The sequence below is a fragment of the Homo sapiens genome, chromosome 4, assembly GCF_000001405.40.
Source record: "Homo sapiens chromosome 4, GRCh38.p14 Primary Assembly".
Lineage (NCBI taxonomy): Eukaryota > Metazoa > Chordata > Mammalia > Primates > Hominidae > Homo > Homo sapiens.
In genome coordinates, this window is record NC_000004.12 from 72,977,505 (window position 1) to 72,999,211 (window position 21,707).

The window sequence follows — 21,707 nt, forward strand, 5'->3', positions numbered from 1 at the left end:
TGTCCGGGCTCTGAGTGTATTGCTCTCTACATTTGAACATCCTCATCAGTGCTCAGCACTTGCCTGGATGGCTAGTACAGCTGTCTGCCAAGAAGATGTCCTTGTGTTTTTCCTCATTGCTGTACATACAGCCTTCAGACAATTCCATAGCTCCATGGACATTTGACCACCCACAACTCAAGAACAACTTTCCTTTTGCCATTGGCTCTTAGCACACATAAATTGCTAATCCTTTCTTAAACTGCTAGGTGAACCTCAAATTCTCATGGGACTCAAATTTCTTCCAGAGGGCTCATTAGGTAAAGGGAGATTCCAAGGAACTCTTTCCTGATTGTTCCTCACTGGAACAGTTCAGTGTGAAAAATAATGACCACTCCTAAGTTCATGTACCTAATTGCCTCTGTCTATCCTGTGGCCTTCAATTAAAGTAAGATCACCATCCGGTTTTTTCCAACTTTTTGTAGCAAGATTGAGAAGGGATGGGGTGGGTTTTATTGGACACTGAGAGGAAGGTTCCTGTAACAGCCACATAAAGAGGTAATGTGGGAAAGCCAAAGTAAGCAGACGGATTTAAAACCAGCTGGAACACCACCAGGAAAGAGGTTAACACCCTAAGCTTTCCATGAACTTTTCTACTGCGAGTCCTAAGCCAGAGGATCCTTCATCATCAGAAATGATTGGAAACCTGGTTTCAAACTCCCTGGAAAGATGAGACAAGAAATGCATAACAGGGAAGGATTTACTTAGGTTAATTGATTAATTAATGACCACACTTCAACGGCTCAAGCTTACTTTGTGGGTGTAAATGTATGAGTAATACTCAAAACCACAAACCTAGGAGCAATAAAAGAGCTTGGGTTGAAAGTTCTACTTTCAGAATTATCCTGATTTTCCTCTGGGCAACTAGGGAGACGAAAATAAAGAAACCAACAGGAAAACTCATAAATCTGTGACTCTGGAAGGAGAGGGTCACATTCTACTTGGAGAGAAGACGCTTTACCCAGGTCCAGTAGGAATTACTTTCTGTGATGTGTTGGGAAGTGAATCCAGAGCAGAAAGGTCCTTTTCAATTTGTATCTGGACTCGTCTACCTCGCCATTTTGTTCACCCACACATTACCACTGCCTTTACCCCAGGTGAGCTCCACACACCAAGTCACCTTTGAAATAGAATTACACTTCTGATGGACCTACCTCCTAAATAGCTCTCCAACCAGGGATGAGTACCTGGGGACCCAGTAGAACCCTCAATTTGTATTGACTCAGAACCCAAAAGAAAACAGAGAAGAACATGTGAAATTATCAAGGTTTTTGGTCAATTCTCTGGCTATGAGTTAGTAATTTCTTTCCACCAGATTTCTGGCTTCTCCTTGTTATGGTTGAATTGTATTAACCATTACCCAAATTCATATGTTGAAGTTCTAACCCCCAGTACCTCAGAACGTGACCTTATTTGGAAATAGAGATGTTGCAGGTATAACCGGTTAAGATGAGGATATACTGAAGTAGGGTGGGCCCCTCATCCAGTATGACTGGTGCTCTTATAAAAGAGGGACATTTGGACACAGACACTCACTGAGGAAAAATGATGTGAAGACACACAAGAGTCATGTGATGACAAACGCAGAGATTAAGAGTGGTGCGAGCCAGGGAATACCAAGGATTGCCAGCAAATGCCAGAAGCTAAAGTGGTAAGCAAGGATTCGCCCCTACAGACTCAAGAGGGAGCCCTGCTGACACCTCAATTTCAGACTTTCACACTCTAGAACTGTGAAACAATAAATTTCTATTGTTTTAAGCAACCCAGTTTGTGGTACTTTGTTATAAAAGTGCTATTTTAAGAGGCCGGGTGCAGTAGCTCACACCTGTAATCCCAGCACTTTGGGAGGTGGAGGCAGGTGGATCACAAGGTCAGGAGATCGAGACCATCCTGGCTAACATGGTGAAACCCTGTCTCTACTAAAAATACAAAAAAAATTAGCTGGGCGTGGTGGCAGGCGCCTGTAGTCCCAGCTACTTGGGAGGCTGAGGCAGGAGAATGGTGTGAACCCAGGAGGTGGAGCTTGCAGTGAGCCAAGATCCCGCCACTGCACTCCAGCCTAGGCGACAGAACGAGACTCTGTCTCAAAAAAAAAAAGAAAAAGTGCTATAAAAGTAACACAGTGATCTATCACTGAAATTTCTGTAATGATCTATCAAACGGACATATTTGTTAAACAAATATGAAACTAGCTCACTTTGAAAAATATTTGTTACCCACTTTAGAGTTTCACTTTCTCAATTTCTGAGAGAAATTTCAACAATGAATTTGCCAAAATTTATCAAATAACTATTTACTTTTTACTCTAATTACAGTCTCCTTGTTTAGGAACTAAAGTTAGATAAAACTAGGGCAAAATCAACCCTACATATCGGAAATTAAACATTTTAGCTTCCTCCTCCCCACTGATTATGTAAAGAGATAGTTTTTTAAGAGTAAGATCATGACTCTCATATAAAGTTATAACTCTCATATAATGTTAACACATGTTGATATGGTTAGGCTTTGTGTCCCCACCCAAGTCTCATCTTGAATTATAATCCCCATAATCCTCATAATCTCCTCTTGTCAAGGGAGAGACTAGGTGGAAGTAATTGGATCATGGGGGCAGTTTCCCCCATGCTGTTCTCATGATAGTGAGTTCTCACAAGATCTGATGGTTTTATAAGTGTTCGGTAGTTCCTTCTGTGTTCATTCTCCCTCCTGCTCCCTTGTGAAGAAGGTACCTTGCTTCCCCTTCACCTTCCACTGTAATTGTAAGTTTCCTGAGGCATCCTCAGCCATGTGGAACTGTGAGTCAATTAAACCTCTTTCCTTTACAAATTACCCAGTCCGAGGCAGTACATTACAGCAGTATGAGAACAAATTAATACACATGTCAAAATTATATTTAACTGATTTATTAATGAGGGAATCAATAATATACAAAAGTAACTGCTTCAAAAGAGAATTCAAATAGATACAGAAGTAATCAGGTATACTAAAATGAATTTTCTAATCGATGCATAAGGTGAGATCAGTTGTACCTTTTTTTTTTGAAACAGGGCCTCATTCCATCACTTAGGCTGGAGTGCAGTGGCATAATCATGGCTCACTGCAGCCTTGACTTTCTTGAGCTCAGATGATTCACCCGCCTCAGCCTCTCAAGTGGTTGGGACTACAGTTGCGTGCCACCAAGTTTGGGTAATTTTTTGTATTTTTTGTAGAAACACGGTTTTGCCATGTTACACAGGCTGTTCTCAAACTCCTGGGCTCAAGAGAACTGCCCACCTCAGCCTCCCAGAGTGTTGGGATTACAGGCGTGAGCCATTTCACTGCATTTCTAGGAACAGGAACTACCATCAATTTTCTACAACTAAGCATTATAAAGTAGCTCAAAGGCAATGAAGGTGCAAATTTTCATAGGATCAGGTAAACTAGAAGGATGCATTAAACATCTAGCATCCCACTGAAAAGATTTTCACTAATCTCTTCTCACCCATTTCAATCTCTTTCACAAGTTTTCCTGGAATATTTCTTCCCTATGATCATAATAATCTCATATTGTTGTGATCATAAAATAAGACTCATCAACTTTGGTCTAGTTATTTATATAAGTGCTGTAAGAGTGTTGATTATATTCCAACAGCAGCATCTATAGATTTGGCTACATTATTCTCTTCTTGAGGTCCCCAAAATTTAGTGAGGTTGCTGACCTGAGAAGAAGTGATGTTCCTTACCATCTGAAAACCTGGAACTTTGGGAGCCAGATACAAGGCCAGTTTTTGGGAAGGAGAGTGGAGGTACGTTTTGGTGGTGAAAGTAAAGTCAACCTTTCTACCTTAAATCATGTATGACTGGTCATACATGATTAACTGAGAATAGAATCATTCATTCTCCAATACAATACTGCAGATAAAGCCTTGGCTACACAATCGATTTGCCTAACTCTATCTTGGTTTTGAAAAAAAAAAAAAAAGGCGGATTCTTACTAAACCTATGCAAATAATTATATTGTCATAAAAAGTTAGGAGACTCAGTAAGAGTGTCTGATTTGAGTTCAAAATAGGCAAAGAACATAGACAAATAAAAGCTCAATTGAATTCTCTACTGTCTCTCACTCAATAGCGAATAGATTTCTATCATCTATTTACAGATATTGACAAATAATTAGACCAAAAAATCAAATTCCCAATCACTGTTGCCACTAGAAAAAGGAATAAATTATTGGCCCTGCTCAAATCAAAACCAAAAACAGAGGCCGGGCGCAGTGGCTCACGCCTGTAATCCCAGCACTTTGGGAGGCCGAGGCAGGTGGATCACGAGGTCAGGAGATCGAGACCAACCTGGCTAACATGGTGAAACCCCGTCTCTACTAAAAATACAAAAAATTAGCCAGGTGTGGCGGCAGGCACCTGTAGTCCCAGCTACTCAGGAGACTGAGGCAGGAGAATCGCTTGAACCCAGGAGGCAGAGCTTGCAGTGAGCCGAGATGGCACCAGTGCACTCTGGCCTAGGCAACAGAGCAAGACTCCATCTCAAAAAACAAAAAAACAAAAACAACACAAAATCAGCGGGGAAAAAAAAAAACCTACAAAAACAGAGTCTCTAAAATTCACTCTATAAGCCAAGAAGAGAGCTTGATCTGCCCACACCTGGGCTTCATCTGCTCATGAGGCTTACTTCTCCAGCAGTGCTATCAACCTGGCTTTTTCAGGTGGATCTAGGTGGTATCTCAGTGAGACCCATGAAATTATAAAGGGATAATTTCTTAAGACTAAAATTATGACCCTCATTTACATTTCAATGAATATGTGTCAAAGCTTTTTTGCTTTTTTGCTTTTTTTTGAGACGGAGTTTCACTCTTGTTGCCTAGGCTGGAGTGCAATGGCTCTTGGCTCACCACAACCTCTGCCTCCCAGGTTCAAGCGATTCTCCTGCCTCAGCCTCCTGAGTAGCTGGGATTACAGGCATGTGCTGCCATGCCCAGCTAATGTCTGTATTTTCAATAGAGACGGGGTTTCACCATGTTGGCCAGGCTGGTCTCGAACTTTTGACCTCAGATGATCTGCCTGCCCTTGGCCTCCCAAAGTGCTGGGATTACAGGCGTGAGCCCCCATGCCTGGACGTGTCAAAGGTTTTTATTTATTTATTAGTGAAAGAACTAGTAAGAGATTAAAAAATTGTTCAAAGAAGAATTCACAGAATAAACACATAGTCAATCAGGAATGCTGAAATAAATTTGCTAATAGGTGCAATAGTGTGCTTGCCTCCTCCATAAGACAGAACCAATTTTACCATCACTGGACAAAATCTGTTTGCATTTCTATGAGCAGAAATCATTTGCACTACCATCAGTTTTTTACAACATTAAGAGTTGTAAAACAGTTCAGAAACAATGAAAGGTGCAGTTCTCTATAGATTCAAATGACCCCAAAAGATGTGTTAGCCATTGAAAACTATTCTACTGAGCTGGGAGGTTGAGAGATGCTTGGAGTCATGGTACCAGTAAGGATCCTAGCAGTGGTCAGATGCCAAAGACCCACGGCTAGTCTCCCACCCTAGTGCTGATCTTCCTTATCCTTCTATTCCTACCGAAGGGAGATTCCTGTTCTGAGTAAGAAATCCATAAATTTATGACCTAACATTCTTACTGCCTCCTGCCCTTTAGCTTCCAGGACATCAAGGAGATGGGGGCCAGAAGTAAAGAGTTCTGGGAATGAAACTAAAAGATCCTTTAGTTTATACATGAGACAGGAGAAAACTAAGTGTGGGATTGTATAGATGGAGAACAGGGACGATAAAGGCAAAGCTAAAGGGTGAGTTGAGGCTTACTTGATTGTGTGTATTTGAGAAGTGAGAAGAAGGGTAGATAGGGGACAAGAGAGATGGAAGGGGGAAGACAGAGAGAGTCTCAGTCATCATTCTACTGTCAGGCTTGACAGTCAACAGAGATTCTAAAGTCCTTACCACAGTGAGTGTCTGGCATAGTCAGAACTTAGTTCGTAAGACACAGACATGGCCACAGACTTGTAAGGATGCATGGGATAGACGGGGAAAAATTATATGAACTTAAGGGGAAAATTAACTACTCAAAAAAAGATTTTCAAATTTGTGGGTGAACCTGTTGACATAGCTTCATAATTGTCAAACTTTGAGACTTAAAATGTAGAGCCAGAGAGTTATCAGAAGTTGTCAGAAAGAGCTACCTCTTTGCTTCCTTTTCTTTTTCTTATTTTATTTGCACTTAAAAATAATGCTGCAGTGAATAGATCTGTATACATAAACGTTTCCACGTATTATATAACTTTCTTGTAAAGAATTCCTGAAAGTAGAATAACAATGACAAACACTGAAACACAATACTGTTATGTAAATATAACCATCTAAATTTCCACCAAGCAGTGCAGGAGGTCATATTAACTCTTTGAAATGAATGACCTACATGACAATAAAAAGCTAGGGTGTGAACTGATTTAGGAACCACTCATGTTCCTTCCCAAAAACTGCACTGTACTAGCTTCTTGTCCACTATGTCTCCATTTTGGAGTTCCTGGAAGTGACAAATGTGAGCACTGGAGCTAGAGGAAGCTTTGGCCTGAAATATACCAAGAGCTCAGTAAAGCAGAAGTAGCTAGCTCAAGCAGACCAGAAGTTCTAATTTGAACTGTTCTATTTCTTTGATTAATCAAGAATAGAAAACAGCTATCTTATAATAAATTCTTTTTGTTGGTAGACGTTACCGCTGAAAAGCATAATAGGGAGAAATAACTAGAGGAAGATTTGGTGACGAAAGAAGGTGGAGAAAATTACTTTAAATCAATGTTAAATCATGCTAACTAGTCAAACAAAAAATAACCAAACAAAAAAAAATCGTGTTAAATCATGATGCATGCATTTTGATGGAAAAGAAGGGCGGCTTTAGCCAAGAATTGAAAAGTGAAAGATAGCATCTGTCAGCAGATAAGAAAAATTGTGGGCACAGGGGGAATTACCAGCCTCCACTGGAGCCCTGAAATCACCTGAGTGTAGCTGACTCAAGTTTCTCAGCTTGTTAGAACTATTAAGTCACAGAACCTGCTTTTATCCCACAAGGACCTGTTTACTGGGTTGTGAGTGAGCCCATTACACACGAATACCATGGCCTACTGATTCTTGTTTCCTTGGAAAAGTGTGCTTCCTGCTTTGAACCGTCCTGTACCTTGGCTCCATTAGGTTTCCATCTGCTTAGGTCAAGCGTGAATCATACACTTAATAGGTGCAATGAAAATGCATATGGCAATGTGGCAAGGTAGTGCCTCAAACTTTATACTCAGATATACAGGGGGGAAATAAAACTTTTATTTTAAAGCTGATCTAACTCTTATGCCAATTAAAGACATCTCCATATCTTCCTATTTCTTTCAGGTTAATTTTTTTTTTTAGTAAGTTCTCAGTCCTCTTAGAATACTTCCCCTTCACCTTTCTCCTCTCTAAAATATTGTCTGCTGATATGAGGGAAATCATGATTTTAAGTAAGATTGATAAAGTTTCTCACCTGTAGGCTTCTATGCATCTCCTCGTAGCTGGGTCTTTGAAGTTGTGAAGTCAGGTTTAGCCCCTGGGCATTTGTGATGACATCCATTGACATGTGGCTGGTCACTCCTGGCCCTATGGGAGCATCATGCAGACATCCACTGCTGAAGTCAGTGGGCCCAGCCATTGGCTTGTTTTTAGGAAGTCCCCACACATTGCTGCCTCATTGCGCTGAGCCCATGTCTCTAGTTCTCACTGTCTTCACATCTCCTGCACTGTGGAATCAGGCACACCTCAGGTTCATTTCTCCATCCTCCACCTGTGTTTCTTTCCCTCACACCATGTTAGATGTGGCTTAAGCCAAAAGCAACAATGTGCATAAAGACCTGCACATATAACCCATAGCTATCTGGATGGCTTTATGGACTTCTCTCAAGACTCAAACCCAGGAGAGAGGATAACAATGTTACAGGTACCTGACCAGCCTGTCCTACCTTCTCCTGTCTTAAACATTTCATGCTTTTGTCAGTTCTAACACACACATTATTTCACATTTTAACATTACTTAACAGATCTTTCACTGACTTGTACAAGAATTTCTCTTGGATAAACATCAAAGAATATGCTAGACCATAGGGCATAACAACAGTGAACATACCACTTCACACACCACAGGACAATATTAAAGTACCTATCACCACATGTCCTGACCAACATTTCCTATGCACATTTGTAACAGTTGCTGTCCCAATAGCCTTAACATGGCATCTCACTGTAGCTTTAATTTAATTTCTCTGGTTACAGCATTTGAGCTCTCTTTATGAACTTATTAACCATTCAGATGTTCCTCTTTAAATTGCTTTCTCATATCTTCAGCCAATTTTTTCATTAGTTTTCTAGTCTTTTTCTTATTAATGTTGCAATTGATGCCTTTCTATATATTAGTCCATTTTGAGTTTCAGGCACTGTAGCATCTTTCTATCTTTTTGTATTTTCATTCATCTTTTAACTTTGTGTATGGTGTCTATTGAAAAGAAATTCTTCATTTTAATATGGTCAAACTGAACAATATTTTTCCTTATTATGTATTTTTGTTTCTTATATAAAAGGCCTTTTACCAACACTCAGGCACAGAACTATTTTATTCAATTACCTTCATAATTTTTAGCTTGCAGAAATATCTTTAATTCATACCGAATTGCCTCTATACGGTCTAAAGTAGGGAACTGAGCTTATTTTTCTTCATGAGCAAGAATTTTCCTAATATCGCTAAAATCATTACTTTGTTCACTATTTTTAATGTGTTACTTTATTTTTTAGCTATTTTTTAAAGTTTTCCATATATACAGGTCAATTTCTGAGCTTTTTATTCTATTCCATTGATCTATTTGTCCACTCCTTAACCAATATATTTTTTAACCATATTATCGTTGAGTGTCTTAATATCTGGTATGGTAAATGCTCTCCTTTCTCTTTGTTTTCTAATATGGCTTAGCTATCCATGGACTTTTATTTTTTCAAGCATATTTTAGAGAGAGTTTTTTAAATTCTTTTAAAAATATTGATAACATTTTGACCAGAATTGTATTGAGTTTGTAGATTCCTTTGAGGTAAATTGACTTCTTTGCTACATTAAATCAGTCTGTTTATTTAAAATCTCTTGGGCTGAGAGCGGTAGCTCATGCCTATAATCCCAGCACTTTGGGAGACCAAGTTGGGTGGATCACCCAAGGTCAGGCATTCAAGATCAGCTGGCCAACATGGTGAGACCCTGTCTCTACTAAAAATACAAAAATTAGCTGGGCATGGTGGCGGGTGCCTGTAATCCCAGCTACTCGGAAGACTGAGGCAAGAGAATCTCTTGAACCCGGGAGGCAGAGGTTGCAGTGAGCCGAGATCGCACCATTGACTCCAACCTGGGCAACAAGAGCGAAACTCCGTCTCAAAAAAAAATCTTTTCTATTTTTAATTGAGTTTTTAAAATTTCTCCAGAAAGAGACTGGCTTTCTTTGTAAGGTGGATTTCTAGAAACTTATTCATTTGGAGTAATATTATAAATAGCATATTATTTCTATTATATTTTCTAGTTAATAATTGCTGATATGGGAAGATACTATTGATTTTTATAAGTCGTCCTGTACCCAAAACTTTGCTAATCTCTTTTACTTCTAATAGTTTTCTCTTAATCTATTGGAATTTATATGATCATTTCATCTCTGAACTAATATTGTATAACACTAACACAGCACTATGTTCATTGACATTTTAGTGGGCATGAAAGAACACTGTATATTCTCCCTTTTCCTTCAAGCTATATATGCAGAATCACTCAATTGACAGAAAATTTTTTTCATTAAAATTAAAAAGAGCCTGTAGCCAAAATGTGAAAATTTCTCTACAATTCTCCTTTCCTGTTCTGTTGTTTGGTTTGTTTTCTTTTATCTTCTTTATTTTCAGATTTTGAATTTTCTTGAATTTCATATATTCTGTTTCTATAACTTTAGTTGTTACCCTTGCAATTTCCACACGGACAGTTTGACTTAAAATTGGAAACAATTTATCTATCTTCTTCCTGAATAATAAATAATAAAAAGTCTTCAAAATCTTTTACTCCAATCACTCCTCTCCTATTTTACATGTTATAATGGGCTAGTATTTGATTTCCATTTTGTGTTTTCATCCAATTTAATCAGAATTATTTTTATTTTATATAGTGTTAATTATGTATTTCCACGTTCATCACTTTCTTTTGTCACACTGCTTCTTCCATCTCATTCCCTTCTACATTCAATGCTTTTATTCCTAAAGTACATCCTCGTGTAATTTTTTCAGTGAGAATGTCTAACTATTAAATTATTTCAAGAATGTCTTTCTTATTTCTTCTGACCTCTAGTGTTGCCATTGAGAAGTCTTTTGTCAAGTTCATCTAAGTACCTACTTTCACAGGCAATATTCTTTCTTCGTTGTTCTTTTTTCCATTTTTCTTTAATTGCTGTCATATGATGCTTTGCAATTTGGTTGTGATGTTTCCGGGTATGGATTTATTTATCTGTTTTGTCCTCCTTAGTTCTCACTTATCACTAAGTTCAACTTTAAGCTGATGATTATTAACTTGCTCTTCAGAAGTCCAACATATGAGGAGCTAGCCTAAGGAATGTACTATCAAGACATTCCAATCTGGAATACTGTACATTTAAACCTCATTAGCTTACCACACTACAAATTACATGAGTTGAGTTACATGTTGGTGTCATGACTTTAGCTTTCATCAGGGTTCAACATAAGCCATATACATAATATTTCTATGTAGCCTATAAATCATAGTTTAAAGCATTATATTAGAAAACTGAGAGGTCAACAGTTCCAAATTTCTCTACCTCCACCCCAAGTATTAATCATTCTCTCCTTCCACCCTGGCTCTGAGAAACAAGTGTCTCTTTTCCTCTCCAAGGCTCACTCATCTTTTCTTCCACTATCTCTCACACTTGGCTCAGTAATTATACCTTTACTCTGAGGTCATGTATGACTTTTCCACTCCACCCACTCTTTCCTTACAGTTAAAAAAATTCACATTTCACACTTTCTAAAAAATAAAAACTTTCCCTCATCCCTGCCTGTCTCTCAAGCTAATTACCTCTCTTTCTCACTCTCACAGCCAAAATTCCTGAAGGAGGGAGAGGTTGTGTCCCCTATACCACCTACCCAGCCCCACATGCCCATTTCATCCTAGCCCTGCTGCAATTTGGCTTCTTCTCCCATCACTTCATGCAACTACTCCAGGCAAGATTACTAATGACTTCCTGACCTCCAAAGCCTAAGGAGTCTTTTCAGGACAAATCCTGTTTTGGTGCTCCAAAGCTTTGGACATCTTTTCCTAATTTGTTATCGACCCTTAGAATTCTTCTATGGTTTTTCAGATTGCTCCCTGGATTGCTTTATCATACTATACTTACTATTCCTCTGCCCCGCTTTAAATGAGGGAGGCCTATGGGTATTCCTGTTCCTCTTCTCATACCCACTTCCCTGGCTTTTTAGCTCATACTTATAAGTTGAAGACTCTTGAAATATTTATCTCTAACCCTTGCCTCTCTCTTGAGCTCCAAATCCAATTTCTCACAGCTTCAATCGACATCTTCAACAGGATGCCCAATCACATCTCAGATTCAATGTCTCCAAATAGAAGTTTGTTTCTTTTTCTTTCAAATTTTTTTCTTATATTCCCTATTCTGATGTGCAATTGTCATTCACTGTCCAAATTTAAACAGAGCAATTCTCTAGTCCAACATTGTCAAATAGAACTTCCAGTGATGACGGAAATCCAGTATGGTAGTACAAGCCACCTGTGGCTATGGAGCACTTGAAATGGAGCTAGTGTGAATGGAGAACTGAATTTTTAATATATTTAATGTTAACTAATTTAAATTTAAATAGCCACATATGGCTATTCTGTTGGAGAGCATAGCTATAGTCTTTCCTCTCACCTAAATTATTTTTGCCACCATGTCCCATGGTTTCTATCTTCTAAATTTATTTGGGAAATATCCTTTTGAAAGCACTCATTCTTTTCTATTGCCACTGTACCACTTGCAAATGTCAATCTGTTTATTTACTTTCCCTGCCCTAAGCATCTTCATTAATCTCATTTTATATTTTGTACAAGATGATATCTAAATGTCTATTCATGGCCTATAAGGCCTTTCATTATGTGGTCTACTTTCCTCCCCAGCTACTCCCAGTGCCCTCTGTGACCACCACGTTCAGCTCTTCACCCTTCTCCTATATGCCCAGTAACACCTCCTAGCTCTTGAACATTCTGTACTTCTGCCTACAATATCACTCCTCTTTATCTTTTCCATGAATTTCCACTCATATTAAAGGGCCAAATCAGATGCCAGCTCCTCATTAATGTCATTCCTGATCATCCATGGAAATCTTGTTCCTGCTTTCTTTGCATTTTTATAACATTTAACAGATCCTCTATCATAGCACTTAGCACTGTGTCCTATGTTTGCTTGTATATCTGCCTCACTCTTCTGCAGAGCAAAAACAATATCCTATGTAACCTTCTCACTCCTATCTGTGAATAAATGAATGATCATAAAATTCACAATTCCTCCTATAATTAAGAGTCAAAGATGCTTCACCTGAAAAACCTGAGTGCTGCCTTTATTTAGATAGCTAAAGTTATAAACCTATTTTTTTCTTATTGTGTCTGAGAGCCTTTCATTATCAGATGCATGATAATAGAGCTTTCTTTATTTTTCTATAATTTAATTTAGGTAGATCACATAACACCCCTAGCTCTATTATTTATTATCTTTGCAACATAATCCCTCTAAGTCTCAACTTTCCCATCTGAAAAATGGGAGTAATGATTGAATGGAGAGGACTAATGGTGGAAAAGGAAAGAAAAAACAGAAAGAGAGAGAAAGGGAGGAAGGCATAAAGGAAGGGAGGCAGGAAAAGGGACAGAAAGGGAGCGAGGAAACATACTGTAAACTCTCAGGTGGAGATACACTTTTCCAGGCCTCCCTTATTGCTCACAAGAATATACCGATGCCAATGGTACCACTGATTTGGAGTGAGGTTTTCCCAGATCTGAGAAGAATTGTTTTTTTTCATTCTCTCTGTGAAGAATTGCAGGTCAATTCCTAGGCAACACTGGGTGTCATCAGAGCTAGGTCTGAGGCATTCCTAAAAATCAATTGCCCAGTCCATTTGGGATAGTTTTGATAGTTTGCAAATAGTTTTGATTCTGAATTTGATCTGAAGATCATAATTACACATTCATTTATCTACAATAGTTTTCTATGCCTGCTACAGTTTCATGAGGACTCAGTGAGCTCTTAATGTGATAATCCTTTTAAAGCGTTTTGCCCATAGTAAAGGCTCAATACATGATAGCTATGAATATTATTTATAGTATTCCATAATCCTGCATGTTCTGAAACTGCAATATTTTTGAATGCTGAACCATAACTTTCTTCTGCTCAAGTGCTAAAAAGTTCACAGTAACTAATGGCTGATATTTGTGTATATGCAGCACTTATCGTTACCGTATTTTTATTTGTGTGTGTATTTGACTGATGTCTGTCTCCCCCTCTAGGCTATATCTCCATGAAAGCAAGTGCTCTGTCAGTTCTTGGTTACCATTGTATGCCCAGCACTTAACAAAGTGCCTAGTACACCAGGAGCACTCAATAAATATTTGCTGAAATAATTTGTTCACTTATTTGAAAAACATTTCAGAGACTGTGCTAGACATTAGAGATACCAAAGCATTTCAATGAAAGTTTTCTGCCTCAATGAATGTTAGTTGAAAAATCCTTATAAGGAGGGTATCAAACCAGTCAGGATAGAGGGGATAGCTACGAAATGCTTTCCAGAGAAGGTGACAGTTAAGCTAATCTTGAAATAGGCAAGAAAAAGAGAAAGAATAGTCTAGAAAGAGCAAGTACACACACACATAAAAATGATAAAGAAAGGAAAGTCTTTCTGTTTAACTGGAAAAGGGTCTGTGAGAAAGAGAATAACAAGAAACAAGGTGAAAAAGTAAAGAGACATGGGAACATGTATTGTGAGCCATATTAAAGATTTTGCATTTAATTATGAAGGCAATCTGGAGACATTGAAGGATTTGACACACAGAAAGAGAATAACCTGAAAAACAAATGAGGTGGACTAGATCTCTAAAGTGTCTCCAATTTTAGCAGTTTGTGATTCAGAAATGTTGAAAGCTAAATTGAATACTCAAATACAGGTTATGTGTGTCTGTGTGTGTGTGTGTGTGGAGAGAGAGAGAGAGTAGTTAGATTAAACTGCTATAACAAACAGACTCAAAATGTAATGACAAAAAAGGTTCATGATGCTCTCATATGCAGCCCAGGTCTGATGTTCATGATTGCCTTTTATGGAGGAGAGAAAGGATCAGCTCCTCAAAGTCCCTCGAGGCTAACAGAGCTCTGCCATAATCAACATGTGGCTTCCAAGATCATTTTGGTTTTCATGTCACCATTCCATCCTTTGTGAATGGATTATAGCATATGACTCAGATCTGGAAATATCACACATCACTTCCATTCATTAGGATGCAGTCACATGACCACATCTATCTGCAAGGAAGTCTAGGAACGGTAGGCTAGCTGCTTGCTAAAGCACCCTCTGCCACACTATTTTAATTTAGACTAAGGCACTCTCTGCCACACTATTTTAATTTAGAATTTGGGGTATGTTTGTACTCTGTTTCTCCTAAGTGGTTTTATAATTTTTTTTCTGTTTTAATCCTCTTAGTGTTTGTAGATTTCATTATAAGAGGTCTCAAATCCATTTTTAAAGCAAGTAGAGTGCAAACCACAAATAAAGCAACAATCATAAATTTGACTAATGTCAACAAAAGTTTATAGTATTTTATAGTTCACAAAGCATTTTCACACTCTTTAGTTTGTTTTTTTAAAGCAACCCTTTGATGTAAGCAGGAAACTGTAGTTACTAACAATTTTGAAATATACATGTTATTTGGAGAGGTAAGTAATTTACGTGAAGTTGCCTAATTACACTCATTCTAACAGTTATTTAAATGTAGAGAACATTTAAGTGTCTTTCAAATCCCTCTTAAAATGCAGAAGGATTTTTTCAAGTCTCATAAAGAACAGTTTCTCCTTATTTTAAAATAAAGGACATATTCATTAGGAGCAGATATATTCTGACACCTTGTTAAAGGGGTTAAGGTGGTATATTCGTTTCCTAGGGCTGCCATAACAAAGTCCCAAAAACTGAATGGCTTCAATAACAGGAATTTATTGTCTCATGGTTCTGGAGGCTAGAAGTTTGAGACCAAGTTGTCAGCAGGCCATGCCCTTCTGAAGGCACTAGGGGAGGATCTGTTCCAAGCCTCTCTTCTAGCTTCTGGAAGTTCTTTGGCTTGTGGCAGTATAAATAACTTCAATCTTCACAGAACTGTGAGACAATATATTTCTAATTTTCTCATCTTTGGCTTGGATTTAGTCAATGAGACAAAGGCCTACATATTAGGGAATTAACACCCTGCAAGGAAATGAAGACAGCTTTCCTATGCCCAAGAAGGACTTGGAAAATGCGGCAGTAGAAAGAAGCCAACAAAAAAATTCCAAATGCTCTGGCCATGTTAGGTTTGCCCTTCAAAACATTTTACCAGCATTTGGCATGCTGCCCCCGACCAGCCCTTCCCTGGAAAGGAACAGTGTGTGAGCCCCCCACATCTATGTAAGTTTCCCACTTGTCTCCACTGAGCAACATTCTTCCCATGAGGTCATGTTCAGCCCCCATCTTTATTCCAGATGACTTTTCAATTCTTTTGGTACCTAGCTTTTATATATTTCAACTGTGGACATATAAAACCCAAACCAAGCACAAGATAGGGTACAGAGAGCCCAGCTGTTCTATAGAAAAACATCTTTCAGTACTTTCTCCCTTTTCACCAGCCCCACCCAACTTCCCCACCCTGTGTTTTTCTAAAACCCCAAAGAAGAAAGGAGGACAGAGAGTAAAATGTTTTTACTGTTCACCAGTGAACTGGGAAGGTGTTGCTTCTGTGAAAACTCATGCCCCGGTACCTGGCACACTGAACACTCTGCTGCTTCATTTGTCTGACTGCCTTGTTCACACTTGCCAAGCCAACATCTGTGGATTGCATGACTTTTTAATTAGAGGAGATGGAGAGTGTGCGTTTAAAAAAAAAAAGAAAAAAAGAAACATCTGATAGGACTTGCACCTCAAACTTCTACCCACCTTTCTCTTCCACACCACTCCAGGATTTTTTTCCCCCAAATTAACCTGAGAGATGGAACCACCTCTGGTCCAGCTTGAGGCAAATTTGGCAGCTTTAGAGGTTGAATGGTGACAACTTACTAACAATCTGCTTTTCTCTGCAAATTGCTAAGGCAGTGGCATTTCTTGGCCAATTCAAAAATCAGGTGATTTCCAAAAAAACTACAGCACATTTTTGTCTAGAGTTCTCATCCAAGAGCCAAAGCAAGGTGCTGCCAGAGGCTGCTGGTCCTGACTCTACTGCTGAAATGCAGTCTTACCAGGAGGTTGGCATTCCTGAGCTATTTCTTCTAGAAAGGGATAGAAGTTAAGGCAAAAATTTGGAGGATTACAGGATAAAAGGCAGAGGAAAAGGATAAGAAGAGAAGGTAAATGTCTACTAAGATGTGGTACTTACATGAATGTGGTCATAAGAAAGGCCAAATTAGGCAGCAATTTTATAGAGTTATCACACCCAGATGTGAATAGGCTGCATTCAATATCAATCCGCAAAGAGGAACTCTGCTTATATTGTCTCCTTCTTGTAAACACCAGGGTCTCAGTTGCAAATGTCTGTTAGGCCCACCTGAATCAGCTTCTCTTTGTTACACTTCCTAAAAGGATTTTCTTAAATGCAAGCACAAATATGTCACTCCCACTGCTTAAAACGCTACAGTGGAAACTCCCACTGCTTAAAATACTCCTGCTCTTAAAGTTCAAGCTCTCACCCACCATGGCTTTAAAAACCTTGCTTCTAGGGCCTTTGCCTAATTCTACAGCTTCTCCTTCCCAAATGCATTCTATGCTCCATCCATGCCCAGTTCCTTGTAGTTCTTTTAATGCATCCTGTTTGTCTGCTGTCCTAATTCTTGCCTTCCACCCCACCCTTAGCTCTCTTCAGGCTGCTTGAGACTATCATCCCCTCCTCCTTCTCTTCCTCCCTTTTTTTGTCTTATGGTCAGTTGGCTAACTCCCACTTACCCTACAGGCCTTAATGTCAATTTCAGTTACTCTGGAAAGCCTTATCTGCCTTATTTGCCTTGCAAATCTGTGTTAAACACCCTTCCCATGAGCTTTCCCAGAACCTTGTGTTTTCCCTTTGATCAGGTGCAACCTTCTGTATTATAACTTCCTGGTCACTCATCTCTCTCCTATTCTTACACCCGCCCACCCTAACTCGGGACTACTGACTCCAACAACAAGCAGCAGGCCAATCTTGCGCACTAGGACCCTAGCACCACACAGTGTCCTGAACATATAGGTGATCAGTAAATATTTGTTGATGTGATCAGTCATTTATTCAATTAAAATATCCCATGCTCCAATAGTGGAGATAGAAAAGTCTTTGGTTCATGTCTTTGGTTCCCAATCTTTCTATGTAACCCTTGATCATTATATTTCAGCTGCAGCCATTTTATAAAAAGAAACAGTGGGATAAAAGATGAACATCACCAACAAAACCACTTTCTGGCTGAGCGCGGTGGCTCACACCTGTAATTCCAGCACTTCAGGAGGCCAAGGTGGGCAGATCATTTGAGGTCAGGGGTTTGAGACCAGCCTGGCCAACATGGTGAAACCCTGTCTCTAGTAAAAATACCAAAAAAAGTTAGCCAGGAATAATGGCGCATGCCGGTAGTCTCAACTACTGGGGAGGCTGAGGCACAAGAATCGCTCAAACCTGGGAGATGGAAGTTATAGTGAGCCGAGATCGCACCACTGCACTTCAGCCTGGGCGACACAGTGAGACTCGTCTCAAAAACAATAGCAACAACAACAAAACCCCACTTTCTTTCCTTCCACAGTTGTTAAAAGACTCAGAGTGTTTCAATTTTTTTTTTAATTTTTGTAGAGACAGGGTCTCGCTATGTTGCCTAGATGGTCACAAACTCTGGCCTCAAGAGAAACTCTCACCTTGGCCTCCCAAATTGCTGGAAGTACAGGTGTGAGCCACCACACCCAGCCACTCAGACTTTCTTTTTTTTTTTTGAGACGGAGTTTTGCTCTTGTTGCCAAGGCTGGGGTGCAATGGTGCTTGGCTCACCACAACCTCTGCCTCCCAGGTTCAAGCAATTCTCCTGCCTCAGCCTCCCAAGTAGCTGGGATTACAGACGCCCGCCACCACGCCCAGCTAATTTTTTGTATTTTTAATAGAGATGGGTTTTCACCATGTTAGCCAGGATGGTCTCAATCTCCTGACCTTGTAATCTGCCTGCCTCGGCCTCCCAAAGTGCTAGGATTACAGGCATGAGCCACTGTGCCTGGCCTCCACTCAGACTTTTTAAACAAGCTATATAAGCTCAATCCTTGTTTTAGACTCTTCTCAAGCTCAGATTTTCACTGATTATCAGTTCATACTTGGCTGAGACTAGGATTCCTGAATCCTCAACCTCCTTCCATAATTACAGCCACCCCCAGAGACTCAAGACCAACTTATCCATTACAGGGTCTAGTGTCCAAAATATGTTTAGAAGTTCAGAAAATGTTTTTATTTCTTTTAAGATCAAAGAGAAAAATATTTTAGGTCCTAAAAATTTAAAAATAATATAAATATATTTGTCCTTACACCAACACGTCATAAAATATAATTTTTAATACTTTTTATAGAGGAAGAGGGTCAATAAAGTCAATAGTACCTAAGGCCCATTAAAATCATGATTTAGCCCTACTGAGTGCCTGAAAAGTGATTTGGGCACAGACAACAAGGAAAAGGAGCAGAATTGTCTCATTACCCTGGAGTCTCAATGGAGCCCTTGGTGAGAGAGCTGAACCATGTGAGCAATTCAAGTAGTGCTTTTGTCCCTCTTGTCTAAGGGACTGTATCACGACCAGACCGAAACTTCTCTCACTCTTTTTTCTCAGGTGTTTATGGTGACTGTCAGCAACCCACTTCACCTCACCATCTACCAAATAAAATTGCTTCTATTACTAGTAACTAACAACAAGTTTCATACTCTAATCCCTCACCTCTTTACATGCAAACAGCAGCATATTAAATGATATTTCTCAGATGGGCCCATTGCTCCAAGTCAGATGCATGGCCCTTCACAAAGTTCACACCCATGGTCTCAAGTGAACAGGGCAAACTGGGCAACAACCTCTTCAGACCTAGGGAAAGACCCAAAAATCACCCTCCTAACCTAACTGGAAAACACAGAACACTCCCTTATAGCAGGTGAGTGTCACACAATCCATTCACAGAATAGAAGTGGGTAAATCCATGCTTGCTTATATTTCCAAACATGTTTAGAGCCATCATGTACGAGCAGAATGCATTCTGGGGCAAAGGGGAAAATGGAAAAGTTCAGAAATCCATCTAGAAGAAATAGGATCCGGTAAGTTACAAAATGAAAAATGTTCGAACATCACATCACTGTAAGATTGGTTACTAAAACCTGCTCTCTGTAAATGTGCATCCAAGCTGATATTTGGTCCAACTGGGTCACAAGCAAAGGCAGACAGTGAGAATTTGAAATCCTTTGAACACATGGAATCCACAAATGAAGAATTGTTTGTTGAGATAAAAATTTGAACTTGCTCATGATTATAGACTACTAATAACACAATTATAAATATAACCAAAATATCCAAAAGCAAAGGAGCATACGAACAAAGGAAAACAGAGACAAAGACCATGTCCCTACTATGGTCAAAAACCTGCAGTAGTTTCTCATTTCCCTCAGAGTGAAAGCCAAGTTCTTTGCCATGTCCCGCACTGTGCCCACAGTCTGGCCCACTTCACAGCTCTGAGCTCATCTCTCCTGGCACAGCTCCAACCACACTCACCTCCTTGCTGTTCCTCAAATATGTCAAGCATGCCCTGCCTCAGGGCCTTTGCAAGGAGTGTTCCTGCTGCCTGGAATTCTCTTCCCCAAGGTACCCACTGGGCTACTCCCTCATCTCCTTCAAGTCTTCGCTCCAATGTCACCTTCTCAGGTGGCCCTCTCCCTAACCATTATTGACTTATTACACTATCTCCTTGTGCAACAACAAAGGTCAAGACCACAGACTTTTTCCAGTTGGCTCATAGATGGTTCCCAAGCACCTAGGATAGGGCCTGATACATAGGACATAATGAATAACTATTTGTTGAATGACCAAAACAAGACTAAAAACAATAATTTAGCTATATAAAAAGACCAAGGTGAGTAATCCTGGAATAATTCAAGAAATTTTGATGGGATTTAATAATTTACAAAAATTAAGTACATCTGATTAGCATTTCAACAGGAGAAAGGTGATTTCTCAAACTAATATTTTAAGAAAACTTCAGCAAGCGATAGTATACAGTCATCCCCACAGTATCTATGGGGGACTGGTTCCAGGATGCCCCATGGATACCAGAATCCATGATGCACAAATCCCTTATATAAAATGGTGTGCTATTTGCATATAACATACACACATCCTCCTGTATATTTTAAATTATTTCTAGATTACTTATAATATCTAATACAATGTGAAAGTTATGTAAATAGTTGTTCCATTGCATTGTTTAGGGTAAAATGACAAGAAAAAGTCTGTATATGTTCAGTACAGACACGACTATTTATTTATTTTTTCTAAATATTTTCTCTCTGCAGTTGGTTGAATCCATACATGCAGAACCCACAGATATGGAAAGCCAAATGTGTATCCAGGAGTATTATCTGTATGGGCCATTGAATACATAGAACTTAATGTGACTTAAAACATTATATTATAAATTAATTTAGCATCTAAATGTATGTTAAATTATAAGCGGACTCTTATTTTTTAAATAAACAAATAATCATGATTCTGCTATAATGTTTTCTTTTACTTGTCTGATTTTCACTCAGGGACTCACTAGCTATACAGTTAGTGAAAAAGTATCACCCAGAACCTGACATTTTCTCTTCAACATGCCCAGCTTTAAGGACAGTCTCCTTTCTGCCACGGATCAATTCAGGAAGTACAAAGTCACAGGATTTAGGTGAGAAGAAGGAACATAAGCTTGAGAGAAGGCTGATTTTGCAGAGCTAAAAAGTTGCAACTTTTAAATTTTTTGGCATCTATTTAACCATATCACTACATGAAGTGTATTTGGTATACTATAATTAAATGTTGAGTCCTTGTTGTGTTTGGGAGAAGTCATCCAACAATTTCTAGAAAAGCAGACTGATGCTTAAAAGCCTTCAGCCACAAGAAACAATTTTTTTTTTTTTTTTGAGACAGAGTTTCACTGTTGTTGCTGAGGCTGGAGTGAAATGGTGCAATCTCAGCTCACTGCAACCTCTGTCTCCTGGGTTCAAGTGATTCTCCTGCCTCAGCCTCCCCAGTGGCTGGGATTACAGGCATGTACCACCATGCCTGGCTAATTTTGTATTTTTAGTACAGACAGGGTTTCACCATGTTGGTCAGGCTGGTCTCAA

General features: G+C 39.2%; 2 long non-coding RNA genes across 2 annotated transcripts in view; one reads left to right on the plus strand and one right to left on the minus strand.

Moving 5' to 3' along the window:
* LOC105377273 (uncharacterized) overlaps positions 1-21,054 on the plus strand; it is a 44,709-nt gene extending 23,655 nt beyond the window's left edge. The window contains exons 2-3 of the long non-coding RNA XR_938873.2: positions 19,565-19,649; positions 20,898-21,054. This is a non-coding gene — a long non-coding RNA (uncharacterized LOC105377273). The remainder of the gene's footprint in view (positions 1-19,564; positions 19,650-20,897) is intronic.
* Positions 2,084-16,940, minus strand: LOC107986286 (uncharacterized). Its single transcript, XR_001741718.1, has 3 exons — positions 16,736-16,940; positions 7,556-7,668; positions 2,084-2,098 (listed from the first exon to the last, which is right to left on the minus strand). It is a non-coding gene; the product is annotated as an uncharacterized LOC107986286 (long non-coding RNA).
* Positions 21,055-21,707: the final 653 nt, after the last annotated feature.